The sequence below is a fragment of the Homo sapiens genome, chromosome 22 (genome assembly GCF_000001405.40).
Source record: "Homo sapiens chromosome 22, GRCh38.p14 Primary Assembly".
Taxonomy (NCBI): domain Eukaryota; kingdom Metazoa; phylum Chordata; class Mammalia; order Primates; family Hominidae; genus Homo; species Homo sapiens.
This window is the reverse complement of record NC_000022.11, coordinates 16,996,201-17,014,272: the sequence shown is the minus strand read 5'-3', so window position 1 is coordinate 17,014,272 and position 18,072 is coordinate 16,996,201. Positions and strand designations below refer to the sequence as shown.

Below are 18,072 nucleotides of genomic sequence, written 5' to 3'. Positions count from 1 at the left end.
GACACTGCAAAGGCCCCGAGGCAGGGAGTGCTTGGCATGTCTGAGGAGCCAGAAAAAGGCCAGTGGAGCTGGAATGGAGTGAGTGAGGAGTAATAGGGGCAGAACACATACGGCCTTAGAGATCATGGCTCTAGGTGTTTTATTTTCCAATTTTTAAAATTGTGTTAAAATACACATAACATAAACTATAGTAGTTTAACCTTGCTTAAGTGAACAGTTCAGTAATATTAACATTCATATGGTTGTGCAACCATTACCACCATCCATCTCCAGAATTCTTTTCAACTTGTAAAACTGAAACCCTCTGTCATTAAACAATAGCTCTCTGTTCTCCCTTCCACCCAGCCCCAGGCAAGCACCATTCTACTTTCTGTCTGTATGCATTTGACTATTCTTGGGACCTTATAACAGCAGAATCTATGGTATTTGTCTTTTCTGACTTATTTCACTTACTCTAATATCTTCAGGGTTATTTTAATATTATTTGTCAGAATTACCTTCCTTTTGAGAAATGAAGAATATTCCATTATGTGTATAGACCACATATCCATTCATCTGTCATGGACATTAGAGTTGTCTCCACATTTAAGCTATTAGTGAATAATTCTGCTATGACCATAGATGTACAAATACTTCTTTGACTCTGCTTTGAATTTCTTTGTGTAGACACCCAGAAGGGAAGTGCTGGATCATGTGAGCCTCCAACCCACTGTCTGCAGTTGTCCTTGCGCCTCCACTCCGCTGTCCCCAGAGCTGTCATTGATGTTCCACCCTACTATCTTGGAGCTGGTTTGAGTCTGCACCCTGCTGTTCTTGGAGCCTAGAAAGCCCACCAGGCCTGGCCAAACTCCACCCCTCCCTTGGTCTCTCCTCCCAGGCATCAGCACTTTGGAAAAGCCATTATGCACCTTTTAATATCTACGAAAGGTGCCTCAGGAAGGCATGGAGAGGTCACCACTTCCAGGTTATGGTGTCTCACCTGTGTCCACTGGCCCCATGCTGGCCCTTTAAGGGGTAAGAGCAGAACAGGCTGGGAGACTACACCTCTTTTCTCAGAGTGGCTATAGATAAAGCCAGAAAGGGGACAGGAGAATGTGGTGCTGTGGGCAGGATGCTGAGGGCAGAGGCCCCTCCCCACAGGTGCTGAGCAGGTCGGGCAAGGAGGAGCTTCCAGCCTCCATCCAGGCAGGACTTCTGACCACTGCTAGAGGCCCCTTCTCAGGAGGTCCTGTCCCAGCCAAGGGCCAGCTCCAGAGACTTTTGTCCATCTTCCCTAAGATGGACACGATGCAGGTGGCTGTGTCTGGGCCCTAGAAATTTCAGGACTGAGCCATGGTGAAGACAGGAGGGGATTGTGGGCCCTGGATGTCCCTGTGCAGCCCATGCCTCTAGCTTGGACCATTCACCGCCCAGGTACCTCCTCGCTAGGTCTCCAAGCCCCAGTGGTCATGTGACAGGCCATGGGGCAGGGCTGGGATGGGTTCAGGGCTCCATGTGCTTCCTGAGAGGGCTGAAGGGTTGCATCCCTCCAGAGCAGCCCAAGGCATAGTAGCCACTGCTACCCCACTCAGTCTCGGTGAGCAGGCTTGTCGGGGATGTAGGGGCCTGGTCCTCCAGTGGCAGGTAGGCAGGCAGCGGTGCCTCTCACTCCTCACACTCTGCTGGCAGCATATCCTCCAAACTTGGGGCCCCTAGGAGGTGTCCCCATGCCCTCCTGCTCTCCTCCAGGCTGACAGATTTCCAGGGACATGCTGAGTCACAGGTGAGTACTGCAGTGGCCTCTCGCACACTGAATTCCAAGGCTCCTTGCGAGGTGCTGGCACAGTCCTGGCTCAGCTGCACGCTGGCCCTGTGGGCCCCCATCCAGGTTAGAAGCAGAGTATGGGATGAGGAAAGGGATCAGGCAGCATGATCAGAACTCACCCTGGGAGTGGCAGCCTCCTCCTCAGCAAGCCCTCCCTCCTCCTCCAAGAAGCCCTCCTGATGTCCACACCCAGAGGCCAAGCAGCACCTGTGCCAGGAGCATTCTGTCTTCCTTACTATGTGCCAGCTCAGCCTCAACATGGGACCCTGAGTCTCTTCAAGTCCCCTCACTGCTCCCCTAGCACAGAGCCTGGTGCTCACAGCAGCCTGCACCAGGGTACAGATGGTGACATGTGCTGAGGAAAAAACAAACACTTGGCAGCATGCAGCATGTGTCCCAGGGCCTTTCAGCAGCTACAGAGACTGGGTACCCCCACCTGAACAATTTTCTCTGTCTCTCTCTCTCACACACACATAGCATGACGGACAGGTGACACGAAGACTGGTGACTTTCAAGGTGCTTGGGAAAGGCCAGCAGACCTGAATCCTTCTGTGGGGACACAGGAGACCTCTGCTTCCAAAAGGAAGCTCTTCCCTAGGTGGGACCAGAAGTATCCATCCAACACGCCACACACACACCACACCCTCCATCACTGCACTGCTCCCTGCCAGACCCTCACCCAAGGCCTAAATAATCCCTGGCAGATGCCCTGGTTCTATAGAGAAGGGCTGGTGTCTGCAAGGGGATGACACAGGCCAGGGTACGATCACAACCTCTGCCCCGCTCAGACTTGTCCTCAGCTGCCCAGGCTCTTGACAGTCACATTTGCCACTGTGAGGAAAGATGGGAAATCTGCCAAGACCCAAGTGCTCAGTTTTAAGCTTTAAATTATATTTTTGAACAACAATCCTAAGAACTGGGCTTCCTGTTGAAAGGGAAAATGATTTTTCTACATAATATGCTGGCAATACTGTGTGGAGGGGATATCTCTGCTGCACAGGGTCCAGGGAAGCCCTGCAGCACCAGGAAAGGAGATCCTGGTGTCACCCTACAAGGAAGAAGCTGAGACAAAGTTAATCTTAGTAGAGAGTTTATTTGAGACAAACTTCAGGATTGCAACTCTGGAGCATAGATTCAAGTTATCCTGAATATACACTGCAATTAGCAGCAGTTATGAGCTGATTTTTAAAGGCAAAACAAGGTGGGCAGGGAAGGGGCAGATACAATTCCTCAGGAATTTTAGTTGGTTCATAGCAATAACACTGCTTAGTGATGGGCCGTACACTGTTAAGCTATAGGGTGTGGGGTATGGCGTCTGGTGTGGCATTATGAGGTAAATTCATAGCTACTTCTGGCAACAGCAGTATCAAGAAATGAATACACAGCTCAATGTGAGGGAGTAGGACATGACTGTGGTCTCATTTTAATGCCTCTTTCTGGGCCTGATAATTAAAGCACTTGCATTTCTCAGATAAAAGTTATTTTATTTTCCTGACTGGTAAAGACCCAGGTCAGCTTGGTCCAGACCGCAGGGAGAGGCCCTCATGCCCTGTGTCCTTTGCCCAAAGTGAGAAGCCTGAGGGAGCACACTGGAGCCCACCCCTGGAGCTCTCCCTCTGCCCTTCCTCCTACCCACGGGGCATGAACTGCCAGCTCAGCAGGGAGGGGAGGGTCCTATGTGACCCCCAAGTAGTTCGCTGATACATGGGCTGTGGGAGCCAGACGAGGCCCACAGAGGGGGAAATGCAGAGCCCATTCCTGACTCTGGTGCCAATGTGTGACTCCAGGGGAATCGAAGGGGTGGGCAGACCAGGAGCCCAGGGTCAGTGAGGGTCCCAGGGGCAGCACAAGTGCTGGAGACCCTCCCCGACAGCCACCGGACAGACACTCACAGAAGGAGGAGGTGAGACCCATGGTGGGCACGGATAGCTGCAAAGCAGAGGAAACAGAGATAAGTTATGAGAAACTTATATATATTTTCCATCAACCATGGAATGGAAGACACAAGAAAAATAAATCATCAATGGAAAATAAAGTGGTTTTTTTTTGTCCACTTGAGACACAGAGGATAAATTTAAATTCACTGTATACACACACAAAAAGGCTCAGAACACTCATAAGTCGCCCACAGTGGCCCCCAACCGTCATCAAAGCCAACATCCTGGGCAGGCTAGACCTTGGGGCAACACCTGCCTTCCATGCCCTGTGGCAGTCTCTGCACTCTCCTGAAGTTCCCATTGTGCGCACTGTAGGGGGCTGGAAGAATGTTGCTGGAGAGGACATATTCTGGAAGAGGGTTCTTTCCACCCTGAGGCCAGGAGAAGACAGTCAGAGGCCCACGGGGACCCAGGTCGGGGCTCCTGCTGAGGCCCCAGTCGGTACGAGGTCACTGCAGGGGCTGAGCTCCCTTCCATCCAGGAAGACCTTATCTGCCTCATTCCTGCCACTGCCTCTCTCCCGTCTCACCCCATCCAAACCTACTCTCATCTCAGGGCAGGATCCAACTGGGTACCCTGTGGCCTCGTTGGCTAACTGATTTATACTAAGGTATGTGTCCTTTACAGTGTGAGCTGTGATGGTGAGTTTAGAATTGACTCGCCATGACTGCAGCCTGCAGAGGGAGCCAGCACCTCCAGGAACCCCATTCTTGCCATCAGCAGAGGGTCTATGGCTCCCACCTCATCCAGTGTCTCCCTGAGCACCATGTCTGCCTGACCAGGACCCAGTGGTCCTCCCATGAGGATGCTGCCTAGGGCTCCAACCCAATAGGTCCAAATACACCTCACCAACCTCCCCTCGGGGCTGTCCCCCCATTCCCCACCTCAGGGTCGGGTCACTACTCATATCTCATCCACCCACATGTCTCCTCAGTCTCAAGACTCTGCAATTTCCTCCATGTGGCTCCATCTCCACTTTTCCCACCAGCTCAAGCCAAATCTTATCTCTATGGACATCCCATTGGCCCTCATCAGGTCCCCCATGTCTGCTTGTTCCTGCAATCCATTCTCAAAACATAAAGCATAACATGTCACACAGTTTCACACTCTTCAGCACTTTCCTTTGCTCTGAGGAGAAGCCAGGCACCCACTCACCTGGCCCCACCCAGCACCCCCATCCCCACACACTCTTCCTTGCATCCTCCCTGCTACCTGATGGGGCCCCTGTGCCCCTCTTGTAAGCTGACATGCAGTGCACATTGGGGATGGCTTACTGAAGAGGCCCCTTGTCTGTCCTGTTCTCTAAGACATCTGCAGAGGCAAGAACAGATCCTGTGCATATCAGATGCCCCCAACTGTGCTTTCACACAATGTGTGAACAAAGAAGCAAACCAAGCTCCTCCAGAGGCAGGAGACAAGGACCTCCGGCTTCTTGGTCCCCGTGACACCGGGTCTGGTTGAGGCCAAGCTGCCCTCATCTTTGACCTGTTCTCTCCTTCCCTTCTCTCCCCAGGCAACATGAGAACCTCCAACTGGCCCAGGGAAGGAACTTGTAAAGCCCACCCCAACCAGGATAAGACAGTGGGGCATAAATGGGAGGAGAGGGGTTGGCTGTCAGTGCCACACTCAATGAACACTCACACATGCACACACTGATGCGTGCACACACGTGACATAAGTACACACGGTGACATCCCAATACATTCACAAACATACACAACACAAACAGGCCCAAACCCTCACTCTGAAACCTAACCCCACCCCCAAACTGCAACCCGGAACTCAAGTCCTAGCCTGAACCTTGACCCCAAACCCCAACTCAAGTCAGAAGGTAAACCATGGGCCGAATCCCGAACTGGAACTCAAACCCCAGCAGGAACCTGAACTCTTCCATTGTCTTTCCTCATCTGGCGCATGGGACTCAGCACCTGAGACTCTGTTGTGGCCCTCTGAATGAGCTGCGCCCCTCGTTCTTGTCCTCTCCACCAGCTGCGCTCCCTGTCCCTCTTCTCCCAAGGAGCCACCCGGCCCATGTCCCCCGCCCCGGTGGTCCCGATGAGATGCACCCAGGCTGACCCAGGGTGCAAATCCCCACCCCAATCCCCAACGCAAACCCTGAACGAGAGGCCTCGTCTAAACTTTAATCCCAAACTCCACCTCAAATTGGAACCGGAACCACAGATGGAAGCCTGAACCGGAACTCAAAGCCCAGCTGGAACCTGAACCCCGCCCTCGCCTGTGAGCACCTGCGCCCGGGTCTCGCCCTCCCCACGAGCTTCACCTCTGACCCCGACCTCCCCTAGAACTGCGCTTTCTACCCCGCAGTCCCAGGGTATCGCAAGCCGTCCCTCACACCCCACCTCCAGCAACGCCCTCTCGCCCTGTCTCCCCCACCTTCACTGTGAGCTGCAGCCCCCATGTCCCTGCCGTCCCCCTCACCCTCCCGGGAGCTGTGCCCACCTGACCCGGCATTTGCGCCTTTGTCTTCGTGGCCCGGAAGTGGCCCCGCCGGCGGAAGCACGAGAAGTGGCCACGTGCTGTACAGCGGCTGGCTGAGGAAGTCGCCCCCCGAGAAGAAGCTGAGGCTCTTTGTGAGTGGGGCAGTGGGGGCGGTACCAGGAGCGCCACGGAGGGTCTGGGGACTCCGGGAGGGGCGTGGGGGAGGCGGCCTGGGTCCACGGGAGGAGCTGCGGGTGGAGGCGACTTCTCCACGTCTGCATGCGAAGGCGACTCCCCGCCAGTGAGAGACAGGGTCCAGGTTTGTGTGGGTTGCGTTCCGAGACCCAGGGAGTTGATTCCAGGGCTGGGGACCCTATTACCTTGAGCGCCGTGGGCCTGCAGGTCGGAGAGTGGGCGGGAAAGGGGACACAGCAGGCTCCGCAGCCTCGCAAAACGGCAGGAACCTCGCACCCGCTCCCCTTCCCTCCCAGGCCCTGAGAATGGCGGGCACCTCGCACCCTCTCTCCTTCCCTCCCAGGCCCCAAGGAAGGCAGGCGCCTTAAACCTGCTCACCTTCCCTCCCAAGCCCCGAGAAGGCAGGCACCTCACACCCTCTCCCTTTCCCTCCCGGGCCCCAGGAAAACGCGGGCACCTCGCACCCGCTCGCTCCCCTTCCCTCCTCACCCGCCACTCCCGGGGTCGTTCGCGTCCTTCCATGCCACCACGCCTGCTGAGGGACAGTGTGCACTGCAGTGTAGTTTTCTATATATTAATTCATGTGGTTAAACGATTTAGAAAAAAAGAAGATTGGTTGCCCTTTCCCCTAGTGGCTAATTTGAAGAGTGTTGTTCTAAATTTCAACAATTTTACTGAGGAAGCGGTAATTGTTAGGAGTCACTATGATTATACCAAGGTACATAGAAGAGGCTTTTCTCTCCTGTTCCTTAGCCCCAGGTCCAGCCCTTCAAGAATCTATTCCAGAATAAGCTGATCCTATAGTCATCTTCCCTTTCCTCTGCTTCCCTGAGGTATGGGGTATGATCAATTCTGCGTTCTTGTCTTTCTCCATTTCTTTTTTCAATTTTTTATTATACTTTAAGTTCTGGGATACATGTGCAGAACGTGGAGGTTTGTTACATACATATACACGTGTCATGGTGGTTTGCTGCACCCATCAACCCATCATCTACATTAGGTATTTCTCGTAATGCTATCCCTTCCCTTGCCCCCCAACCCCAATAGGCCACATTGTGTAATGCTCCCGTCCCTGTGCCCATATGTTCTCATTGTTCAGCTGCCACTTATGAGTGAGAACATGGCGGTGTTTGGTTTTCTGTTCCAGTGTAAGTTTGCTGAGAATGATGATTTCCAGCTTCATCCATGTCCCTGTAAAGAACATGAACTCATTCTTTTTTATGGCTGCATAATATTCCATAGTGTATATGTGCCATATTTTCTTTATCCAGTCTATTATTGATGGGCATTTGGGTTGGTTCCAAGTCTTTGCTGTCGTGAATAGTGCTGCAATAAACATACGGGTGCACTTGTCTTTATAGTAGAATGATTTGTAATCCTTTGGGTATATACCCAGTAATGGGATGGCTGGGTCAAATGGTATTTCTAGTTCTTGATCCTTGAGGAGTCGCCACACTGTCTTTGACAATAGTTGAACTAATTTACACTCCAACCAACAGTGTAAAAACATTCCTATTTCTCCACATCTTCTCCAGCATCTGTTGTTTCCTGACTTTTTAATGATGGCCATTCTAACTGGCGTGAGATGGTATCTCGTTGCATTTCTCTAATGACCAGTGATGATGAGCATTTTTTCATGTTTGTTGGCCACATAAATATCTTCTTCTGTTAAGTGTCTGTTCATATCCTTTGCCCACTTCTTGATAGTGTTGTTGTTTTTTTCTTGTAAATTTGTTTAAATTCCTTATACATTCTGGATATTAGCCCTTTGTCAGATGGATAGATTGGAAAAAATTTCTGCCATTCGGTAGGTTGCCTGTTCACGCTGATGATAGTTTCTTTTGCTATGCAGAAGCTCTTTAGTTTAAATAGATCCCATTTGTCAATTTTGGCTTTTGTTACCATTGCTTTTCATGTTTTAGTTATGAAGTCTTTGCCCATGCCTATGTCCTGGATGATATTGCCTAGGTTTTCTTCTAAGGTTTCTATGGTTTTAGGTCTTACGTTTAAGTCTTTAATCCATCTTGACCCCGACCTCCTTCAGAACTGAGTTAATTTTTGTATAAGATATAAGGAAGGGGTCCACTTTCAGTTTTCTGCCCATGGCTAGCCAGTTTTCCCAACACCATTTATTAAATAGGGAATCCTTTCCCCATTGCTAGTTTTTGTCAGGTTTGTCAAAGATCAGATGGTTGTAGATGTGTGGTGTTATTTCTGAGGCCTCTGTTCTGCTCCATTGGTCTATATATCTGTCTTGGTACCAGTAACATGTTTTGGTTACTGTAACCTTGTAGTACAGTTTGAAGTCAGGTAGTGTGATGCTTCCAGCTTTGTTATTTTTGCTTAGGATTGTCTTGGCTATACGGGCTCTTTTTTGGTTACATGTGAAATTTAAAGTGGATTTTTCTAATTCTGTGAAGAAAGTCAATGGTAGCTTGATTGGAATAGCAATGAATCTGTAAATTACTTTGGGCAGTATGGCCGTTTTCACAATATTGATTCTTCCTATCCATGAGCATGGAATGTTCTTCCATTTGTTTGTGTCCTCTCTTATTTCCTTGAGCAGTGGTTTGTAGTTCTTCTTGAAGAAGTCCTTCACATCTCTTGTAGGTTGTATTCCTAGGTATTTTATTCTTTTGGTAGCAATTGTGAATGGGAGTTCACTCATGATTTGGCTCTCTATTTGTCTATTATTGGTGTATAGGAATGCTTGTGATTTTTGCACATGGATTTTGTATCCTGAGACTTTACTGAAGTTGCTTACCAGCTTCAGGAGTTTTTGGGCTGAGATGATGGGGTTTTCTAAATATACAATCATGTCATCTGCAAACAGAGACAATTTAACTTCCTCTCTTCCTGTTTGAATACCGTTTATTTCTTTCTCTTGCCTGATTGTCCTGGCCAGAACTTCCAATACTATGTTGAATAGGAGTGGTGAGAGAGGGCATCCTTGTCTTGTGCCGGTTTTCAAAGGGAATCCTTCTAGCTTTTGCCCATTCAGTATGATATTAGCTGTGGGTTTGTCATAAATAACGTATTATTTTGAGATATGTTCCATCAATACTTAGTTAATTGAGAGTTTTTAGCACGAAGGGGTGTTGAATTTTATCGAAGGCCTGTTCTGCATCTATTGAGATAATCATGTGGTTTTTGTCATTGGTTCTTTTTATGTGACGGATTACGTTTATTGATTGTTTGTCATAAATAACTTATTATTTTGAGATACGTTCCATCAATACTTAGTTTATTGAGAGTTTTTAGCACGAACGGGGTGTTGAATTTTATGGAAGGCCTTTTCTGCATCTATTGAGATAATCATGTGGTTTTTGTCATTGGTTCTTTTTGTGTGATGGATTACGTTTATTGATTTGCATATGTTGAACCAGCCTTGCATCCCAGGAATGAAGTCGACTTGATCGTGATTGATAAGCTTTTTGATGTGCCTGGGTTCGGTTTGCCAGTATTTTATTGAGGGTTTTTGCATTGATGTTCATTAGGGATATTGGCCTGAAATTTTATTTTTTTGTTGTGTCTCTGCTAGGGTTTTGTATCAGGATGATGCTGGCCTCATAAAATGAGTTAGGGAGGAGTCCCTCTTTTTGCATTGTTTGGAATAGTTTCAGAAGGAATGGTACCAGCTCGTTTTTGTACCTCTGGTAGAAATCGGCTGTGAATCGGTCTGGTCCTGGGCTTTTCTTGTTGTTGTTGATAGGCTATTAATTATTGCTTCAATTTCAGAATTTATTATTGGTTTATTCAGAGATTTGACTTCTTCCTGGTTTAGTCTTGGGAGGGTGTATGTGTCCAGGAATTTATCCATTTCTTATGAATTTCCTAGTTTATTTGCATAGAGGTGTTTATAGTATTCTCTGATGGTAGTTTGTATTTCTGTGGGATCAGCGGTGATACCCCTCTATCATTTTTTGTTGTGTCTATTTGATTCTTCTTTGTTGTGTCTATTTGATTCTTTATTAGTCTGGCTAGCGGTCTATCTAATTTTTTAAAAAACAGCTCCTAAACTTACTGATTTTTTGAAGGGTTTTTTTGTGTCTCTATCTCCTTTAGCTCTGCTCTGATCTTAGTTTGTGTTCTGCTAGCTTTTGAATTTGTTTGCTCTTGCTTCTCTAGTTCTTTTAATTTTGATGTTAGGGTGTCAATTTTAGATCTTTCCTGCTTTCTCTTGTGGGCATTTAGTGCTATACATTTCCCTCTAAACACTGCTTTAGCTGTGTCCCAGAGATTGTGGTACATTGTGTCTTTGTTTTCATTGGTTTAAAAAAAATCTTTATTTCTTCCTTGATTTTGTTATTTACCCAGTAATCATTCAGGAGCAGGTTTTTCAGTTTCCATGTAGTTGTGCATTTTTGAGTGAGTTTCTTAATCCTGAGTTCTAATTTGATTGTACTGGGGTCTAAGAAACTGTTAAGATTTCCATTCATTTACATTTGCTGAGGAGTGTTTTACTTCCAATTTTGTAGTCAATTTTAGAATAAGTGAGTGCTATGTGGTGCTCAGAAGAATGTATATTCTGTTGATTTGGGGTGGGGAGCTCTGTAGATGTCTATTAGGTCCACTTGGTCCAGAGCTGAGTTCAGGTTCTGAATATCCTTGTTTCATTTCTGTCTTGTTAATCTGCCTAATATTGACAGTGGGGTGTTAAAGTCTCCCACTATTACTGTGTGGGAGTCTAAGTCTCTTTCTAGGTCACTAAGAACTTGCTTATGAATCTGGGTGCCCCTGTCTTGGGTGCATATATATTTAGGGTAGTTAGCTCTTCTTGTTGCATTGATCCCTTTACCATTATTTAATGCCCTTCTTTTCGTTTTTGATGTTTGTTGGTTTAAAGTGTGTTTTATCAGAGACTAGGAGTGCAAACCCTGCTTTCTTTTGGTTTCCATTTGCTTGGTAAATATTCTTCCATCCCTTTATTTTGAGCCTATGTGTGTCTTTGCACATCAGATGGGTCTCCTGAATACAGCATACTGATGCATCTTGACTCTATCCAATTTGCCAGTCTGTGTCTTTTAATTGGGGCATTTAGCCCATTTACATTTAAGGTTAATTTTTTTAAATTATACTTTAAGTTTTTGGGTACGTGTGCACAATGTACAGGTCTGTTACATATGTATACGTGTGCCATGTTGGTGTGCTGCACCCATTAACTCGTCATTTAACATTAGGTATATCTCCTAATGCTATCCCTCCCCCCTCGCCCCCAACAACAGGCCCCAGTGTGTGATGTTCCCCTTCCTGTGACCATGTGTTCTCATTGTTCAATTCCCACCTATGAGTGAGAACATAAGGTTAATATTGTTATGTGTGAATTTGATCCTGTCATTATGATGCTAGCTGGTTATTTTGCCTGTTGGTGCAGTATCTTCATCCTGTCGGTGGTCTTTACATTTTGGTATGTTTTTGCAGTTGCTGGTACCAGTTTTTCCTTTGCATATTTAGTGCTTCCTCAGGAGCTCTTGTAAGGCAGGCCTGGTGGTGACAGAATCCCTTAGCATTTGCTGGTCTGTAAAGGATTTTATTTCTCCTTCGCTTATGAACCTTTGTTTGGCTGGATATGAAATTATGGGTTGAAAATTCTTTTCTTTAAGAATGTTGAAAACGGAGGTTCCAAGATGGCCAAATAGGAACAGCTCCAGTCTACAGCTCCCAGCATGAGCAATGCAGAAGATGGGTTATTTCTGCATTTCCAACTGAGGCACTGGGTTCATCTCACAGGGGCTTGTCAGACAGTGGGTGCAGCCCACGGAGCAGGGTGGGGCATTGCCTCACCCGGGAAGCACAAGGGGTCAGGGAATTCCCTTTCCTGGCAAAGGGAAGCCATAACAGATGGTACCTGGAAAATCGGGACACTCCCACCCTAATACTGCACTTTTCCAATGGCCCTAACAAACAGCACACCAGGAGAATATATCCCACACCTGGCTCGGGGGGTCCCATGCCCATGGAGTCTCGCTCACTGCTAGCACAGCAGTCTGAGATCAAACTGCGAGGCTGCAGCCAGGCTGAGGGAGGGGCACCCACCATTGCTGAGGCTTGAGTAGGTAAACAAAGTGGCCTGGAAGCTCGAACTGGGTAGAATCCACCTCAGTTCAAGGAGGCCTACCTGCCTCTGTAGACTCCACCTCTAGGGGCAGGGAAAAGCTGAAAATTCTGAAAATCAGAGCGCCTCTTCTCCTCCGAAGGAAAGCAGCTCATCTACAGCAACGGAGCAAAGCTGGACAGAGAATGACTTTGACGAGTTGACAGAAGAAGGCTTCAGACGATCAGTAATAATGAACTTCTCCGAGCTAAAGGAGGATATTTGAACCCATCGCAAAGAAGCTAAAAATCTTGAAAAAAGATTATGCAAATAGCTAACTAGAATAAACAGTATAGAGAAGTCCTTAAATGACCTGATGGAGCTGAAAATCATGGCACGAGAACTACATGACACATGCACAAGCTTCAGTAGCCAATTTGATCAAGAGGAAGAAGGCATCAGTGATTGAAGATCAAATGAATGAAATGAAGCGAGAAGAGAAGTTTAGAGAAAAAAGAGTAAAAAGAAACAAACAAAGCATCCAAGAAACATGGGACTATGTGAAAAGACCAAATCTACGTCTGATTGGTGTACCTGAAAGTGACGGGCAGAATGGAACCAAGTTGGAAAACACTCTGCAGGATATTATCCAGGAGAATTTCCCCAACCTAGCAAGGCAGGCCAAAATTCAAATTCAGGAAATACAGAGAATGCTGCAAAGATAATCTTCGAGAAGAGCAACTCCAAGACACATAATTGTCAGATTCACCAAAGTTGAAATGAAAGAAAAAATGTTGAAGTCAGCCAGAGAGAAAGGTCAGATTACCCACAAAGGGAAGCCCATCAGACTAACAGCTGATCTCTCGGCTGAAACTCTACAAGCCAGAAGAGAGTGGAGGCCAATATTCAACATTCTTAAAGAAAAGAATTTTCAACCCAGAATTTCATATCCAGCCAAACTAAGCTTCATAAGTGAAGGAGAAATAAAATCCTTTACAGACAAAAAAATGCTGAGTGATTTTGTCACCACCAGGCCTTCCTTACAAGAGCTCCTGAAGGAAGCACTAAACATGGAAAGGACAACCTTTGCACAGCCACTGCAAAAACATCCCAAATTGTAAAGACCCTTGATGCTAGGAAGAAACTGCATCAACTAACGAGCAAAATAACCAGCTAACATCATAATGACAGGATCAAATTCACACATAACAATATTAACCTTAAACGTAAATGGGCTAAATGCTCCAATTAAAAGACACAGACTGGCAAATTGGATAAAGAGTCAAGACCCATCAGTGTGCTGTTTTCAGGAGACCCATCTCACGTGCAGAGACACACATAGGCTCAAAATAAAGGGATGGAGGAAGATCTACGAAGCAAATAGAAAACAAAAAAAAAGCAGGGGTTGCAATCCTAGTCTCTGATAAAACAGACTTTAAACCAACAAAGATCAAAAGAGACAAGGCCATTACATAATGGTAAAGGGATCAATTCAACAAGAAGAGCTAACTATCCTAAATATACATGCACCCAATACAGGAGCACCCAGATTCATAAAGCCTATACTTAGAGACCTAGAAAGAGACTTAGACTCCCACACAATAATAATTGGAGACTTTAACACCCCACTGTCAACATTAGACAGATCAACAAGACAGAAAATTAACAAAGGTATCCAGGAATTGAACTCAGCTCTACGCCAAGCAGACCTAATAGACATCTACAGAACTCTCCACCCCAAATCAACAGAATATACACTCTTCTAAGCACCACATCACACTTATTCCAAAATTGACCACATCGTTGGAAGTAAAGCACTCCTCAGCCAATGTAGAAAAACAGAAATGATAACAAACCATGTCTCAGACCACAGTGCAATCAAACTAGTACTCAGGATTAAGAAACTCACTCAAACCCGCTCAACTATATGGAAACTGAACAACCTGCTCCTGAGTGACTACTGGGTACATAACAAAAAGAAGGCAGAAATAAAGATGTTCTTTGAAACCAATGAGAACAAAGGCACAACATACCAGAAGCTCTGGGACACATTCAAAGCAGTGTGTAGAGGGAAATTTATAGCACTAAATGCCCACAAGAGAAAGCAGGAAAGATCTAAAATCAACACCCTAATATCACAATTAAAAGAACTAGACAAGCAAGAGCAAACACATTCCAAAGCTAGCAGAAGGCAAGAAATGACTAAGATCAGAGCAGAACTGAAGGAGATAGAGACACCAAAAACCCTTCAAAAAATCAATTAATCCAGGAGCTGGTTTTTTGAAAAGATCAACAGAATTGAAAGACCTCTAGCAAGACTAATAAAGAAGAAAAGAGAGAAGAATCAAATAGATGCAATAAAAAGTGATAAAGGGGATATCACCACCAATCCCACAGAAATACAAACTACCACCAGAGAATACTATAAACACCTTTATGCAAATAAACTAGAAAATCTAGAAGAAATGGATAAATTCCTGGACACATGCACCCTCCCAAGACTAAACCAGGAAGAAGTTGAATCCCTGAATAGACCAATAACAGGTTCTGAAATTGAGGCTATAGTTAATAGCCTACCAACCAAAGAAAGTCCAGGACCAGATGGATTCACAGCCGAATTCTATCAGAGGTACCAAGAGGAGCTGGTACCATTCCTTCTGAAACTATTCCAATCAATAGAAAAAGAGGGAATCCTCCCTAATTCGTTTTATGAAGCCAACATCATCCTGTTACCAAAGCCTGGCAGAGACACAACAAAAAAAGAGAATTTTAGACCAATATCCCTGATGAACATCAATGCAAAAATGCTCAATAAAATAGTGGCAAACCGAACCCAGCAGCAGATCAAAACGCTTATTCACCACGATCAAGTTGGCTTCATCCCTGGGATGCAAGGCTGGTTCAACATACACACATCAATAAATGTAATCCATCATGTAAAGAGAACCAGAGACAAAAACCACGTGATTATCTCAATAGATGCAGAAAAGGCCTTCGACAAAATTCAACAGCCCTTCATGCTAAAAACTCTCAATGAACTAGATGGGATGTATCTCAAATTAATAAGAGCTATTTATGACAAACCGACAGCCAATATCATACTGAATGGGCAAAAACTGGAAGCATTCCCTTTGAAAACTGGCACAAGACAGGGATGCCCTCTCTCACCACTCCTATTCAACATAGCATTGGAAGTTCTGGCCAGCACAGTCAGGCAAGAGAAAGAAATAAAGGGTATTCAATTAGAAAAAGAGGAAATCAAATTGTCCCTGTTTGCAGATGACATAACTGTATATTTAGAAAACCCCATCGTCTCAGCCCAAAATCTCCTTAAGCTGATAAGCAACTTCAGCCAAGTCTTAGGATACAAAATCAATGTGCAAAAATCACAAGCATTCCTCTACACCAATAACAGACAAACAGAGAGCCAAATCAAGAGTGAACTCCCATTCACAATTGCTTCAAAGAGAATAAAATACCTAGGAATCCAACTTACAAGGGATAGGAAGGACCTCTTCCAGGAGAACTACAGAACACTGCTCAGCAAAATAAAAGAGGACACAAACAAATGGAAGAACATTCCATGCTCATGGGTAGGAAGAATCAATATTGTGAAAATGGCCACACTGCCCAAGGTAATTTATAGATTCAGTGCCATCCCCATCAAGCTACCAATGACTTTCTTCACAGAATTGGAAAAAACTACTTTAAAGTTCATATGGAACCAAAAAAGAGCTGCATTGCTAAGACAATCCTAAGCCAAAAGAACAAAGCTGGAGGCATCACGCTACCTGACTTCAAACTATACTACAAGGCTACAGTAAACAAAACAGCATGGTACTGGTACCAAAACAGAGATATAGACCAATGGAACAGAACAGAGCCCTCAGAAATAATACCACACATTTACAACCATCTGATCTTTGACAAACCTGAGAAAAACAAGAAATGGGGAAAGGATTCCCTATTTAATAAATGGTGCTGGGAAAACTGGCTAGCCATATGTAGAAAGCTGAAACTGGATCCCTTCCTTGTACCTTATACAAAAATTAATTCAAGATGGATTAAAAACTTAAATGTTAGACCTAAAACCATAAAAACCCTAGAAGAAAACCTAGGCAATCCCATTCAGGACATAGGCATGGGCAAGGGCAAGGACTTCATAATTAAAACACCAAAGTAATGACAACAAAAGCCAAAATAGCCAAATGGGATCTAATTAAACTAAAGAACTTCTGCACAGCAAGAGAAACTACCATCAGAGTGAACAGGCAACCTACAGAATGGGAGAAAATTTTTACAATCTACCCATCTGACAAAGGGCTAATATCCAGAATCTACAAAGAACTTAAACAAATTTACAAGAAAAAATCAACACCATCAAAAAGTGGGCAAAGGATATGAACAGACACTTATCAGAAGAAGACATTTATGCAGCCAACAGACACATGAAAAAATGCTCATCATCACTGGCCATCAGAGAAATGCAAATCAAAACCACAAGGAGATACCATCTCATACCAGTTAGAATGGCAGTCATTAAAAAGTCAGGAAACAACAGGTGCTGGAGAGGATGTGGAGAAATAGGAAGGCTTTTACACTGTTGGTGGGAGTGTAAACTATTTCAACCATTGTGGAAGACAGTGTGGCGACTCCTCAAGGATCTAGAACTAGAAATACCATTTGACCCAGCAATCCCATTACTGGGTATATACCCAAAGGATTATAAATCATTGTACTATAAAGACACATGCACACGTATGTTTATTGCGGCACTATTCACAATAGCAAAGACTTGGAACCAACCAGACTGGATGAAGAAAATGTGGCACATATACACCATGGAATACTATGCAGCCATAAAAAATGATGAGTTCATGTCCTTTGTAGGGCCATGGATGAAGCTGGAATCCATCATTCTCAGCAAACTATTGCAAGGACAGAAAACCAAACACCGCATGTTCTCACTCATAGGTGGGAATTGAACAATGAGAACACTTGGACACAGGTTGGGGAACATCACACACCAGGGCCTGTTGTGGGGTGGAGGGAGGGGGGAGGGATATCATTAGGAGATACACATAATGTAAATGGTGAGTTAACGGATGCAGCACACCAACATGGCACATGTTTACATATGTAACAAACCTGCACGTTTTGCGCATGTACCATAGAACTTAAAGTATAATAATAATAAAAAAGAATGTTGAATATTGGCCCTCACTCTCTTTTGGCTTGTAAGGTTTCTGCAGAGAGATCTGCTCTTAGTCTGATGGGCTTCTCTTTGTGGGTAGCCCGACCTTTCTCTCTGGCTGCCCTTACCATTTTTTCCCTTCATTTCAACCTTTGTCAATCTGACAATTACGTGTCTTGGGGTTGCTTTTCTCGAGGAGTATCATGGTGGTGGTCTTTGTATTTCTTGAATTTGAATGTTGGCTTGTCTTGCTTGGTTGGGGAAGTTCTCCTGGATAATATCCTTAAGAATGTTTTCCAATTTGGTTCCATTCTCCCTGTCATTTTCACATATACCAATCAAACATAGATTTGACCTTTTCACATAGTCCCATATTTCTTTGAGGCTTTGTTCATTCCTTAAGTTTTTTTTTCTCTAATCTTGTCTTCATGCTTTATTTCATTAAGTTAATCTTCAATCTCTGATATCC

General features: G+C 45.3%; 1 protein-coding gene and 1 pseudogene across 8 annotated transcripts in view; one reads left to right on the top strand and one right to left on the bottom strand.

Moving 5' to 3' along the window:
- Positions 1,341-1,869, bottom strand: IL9RP6 (IL9R pseudogene 6; annotated as a pseudogene).
- GAB4 (GRB2 associated binding protein family member 4) overlaps positions 6,051-18,072 on the top strand; it is a 46,287-nt gene continuing 34,265 nt past the window's right edge. For all 8 annotated transcript variants that reach the window (NR_159481.1, XR_951190.3, XR_951191.3 and 5 more), the window contains exon 1: positions 6,051-6,332. Coding sequence is in view for 5 of the 8 variants with exons in the window: in NM_001366857.1 (NP_001353786.1) it covers positions 6,159-6,332 (174 nt within the window). In the remaining 3 variants the exon portion in view is untranslated. The remainder of the gene's footprint in view (positions 6,333-18,072) is intronic.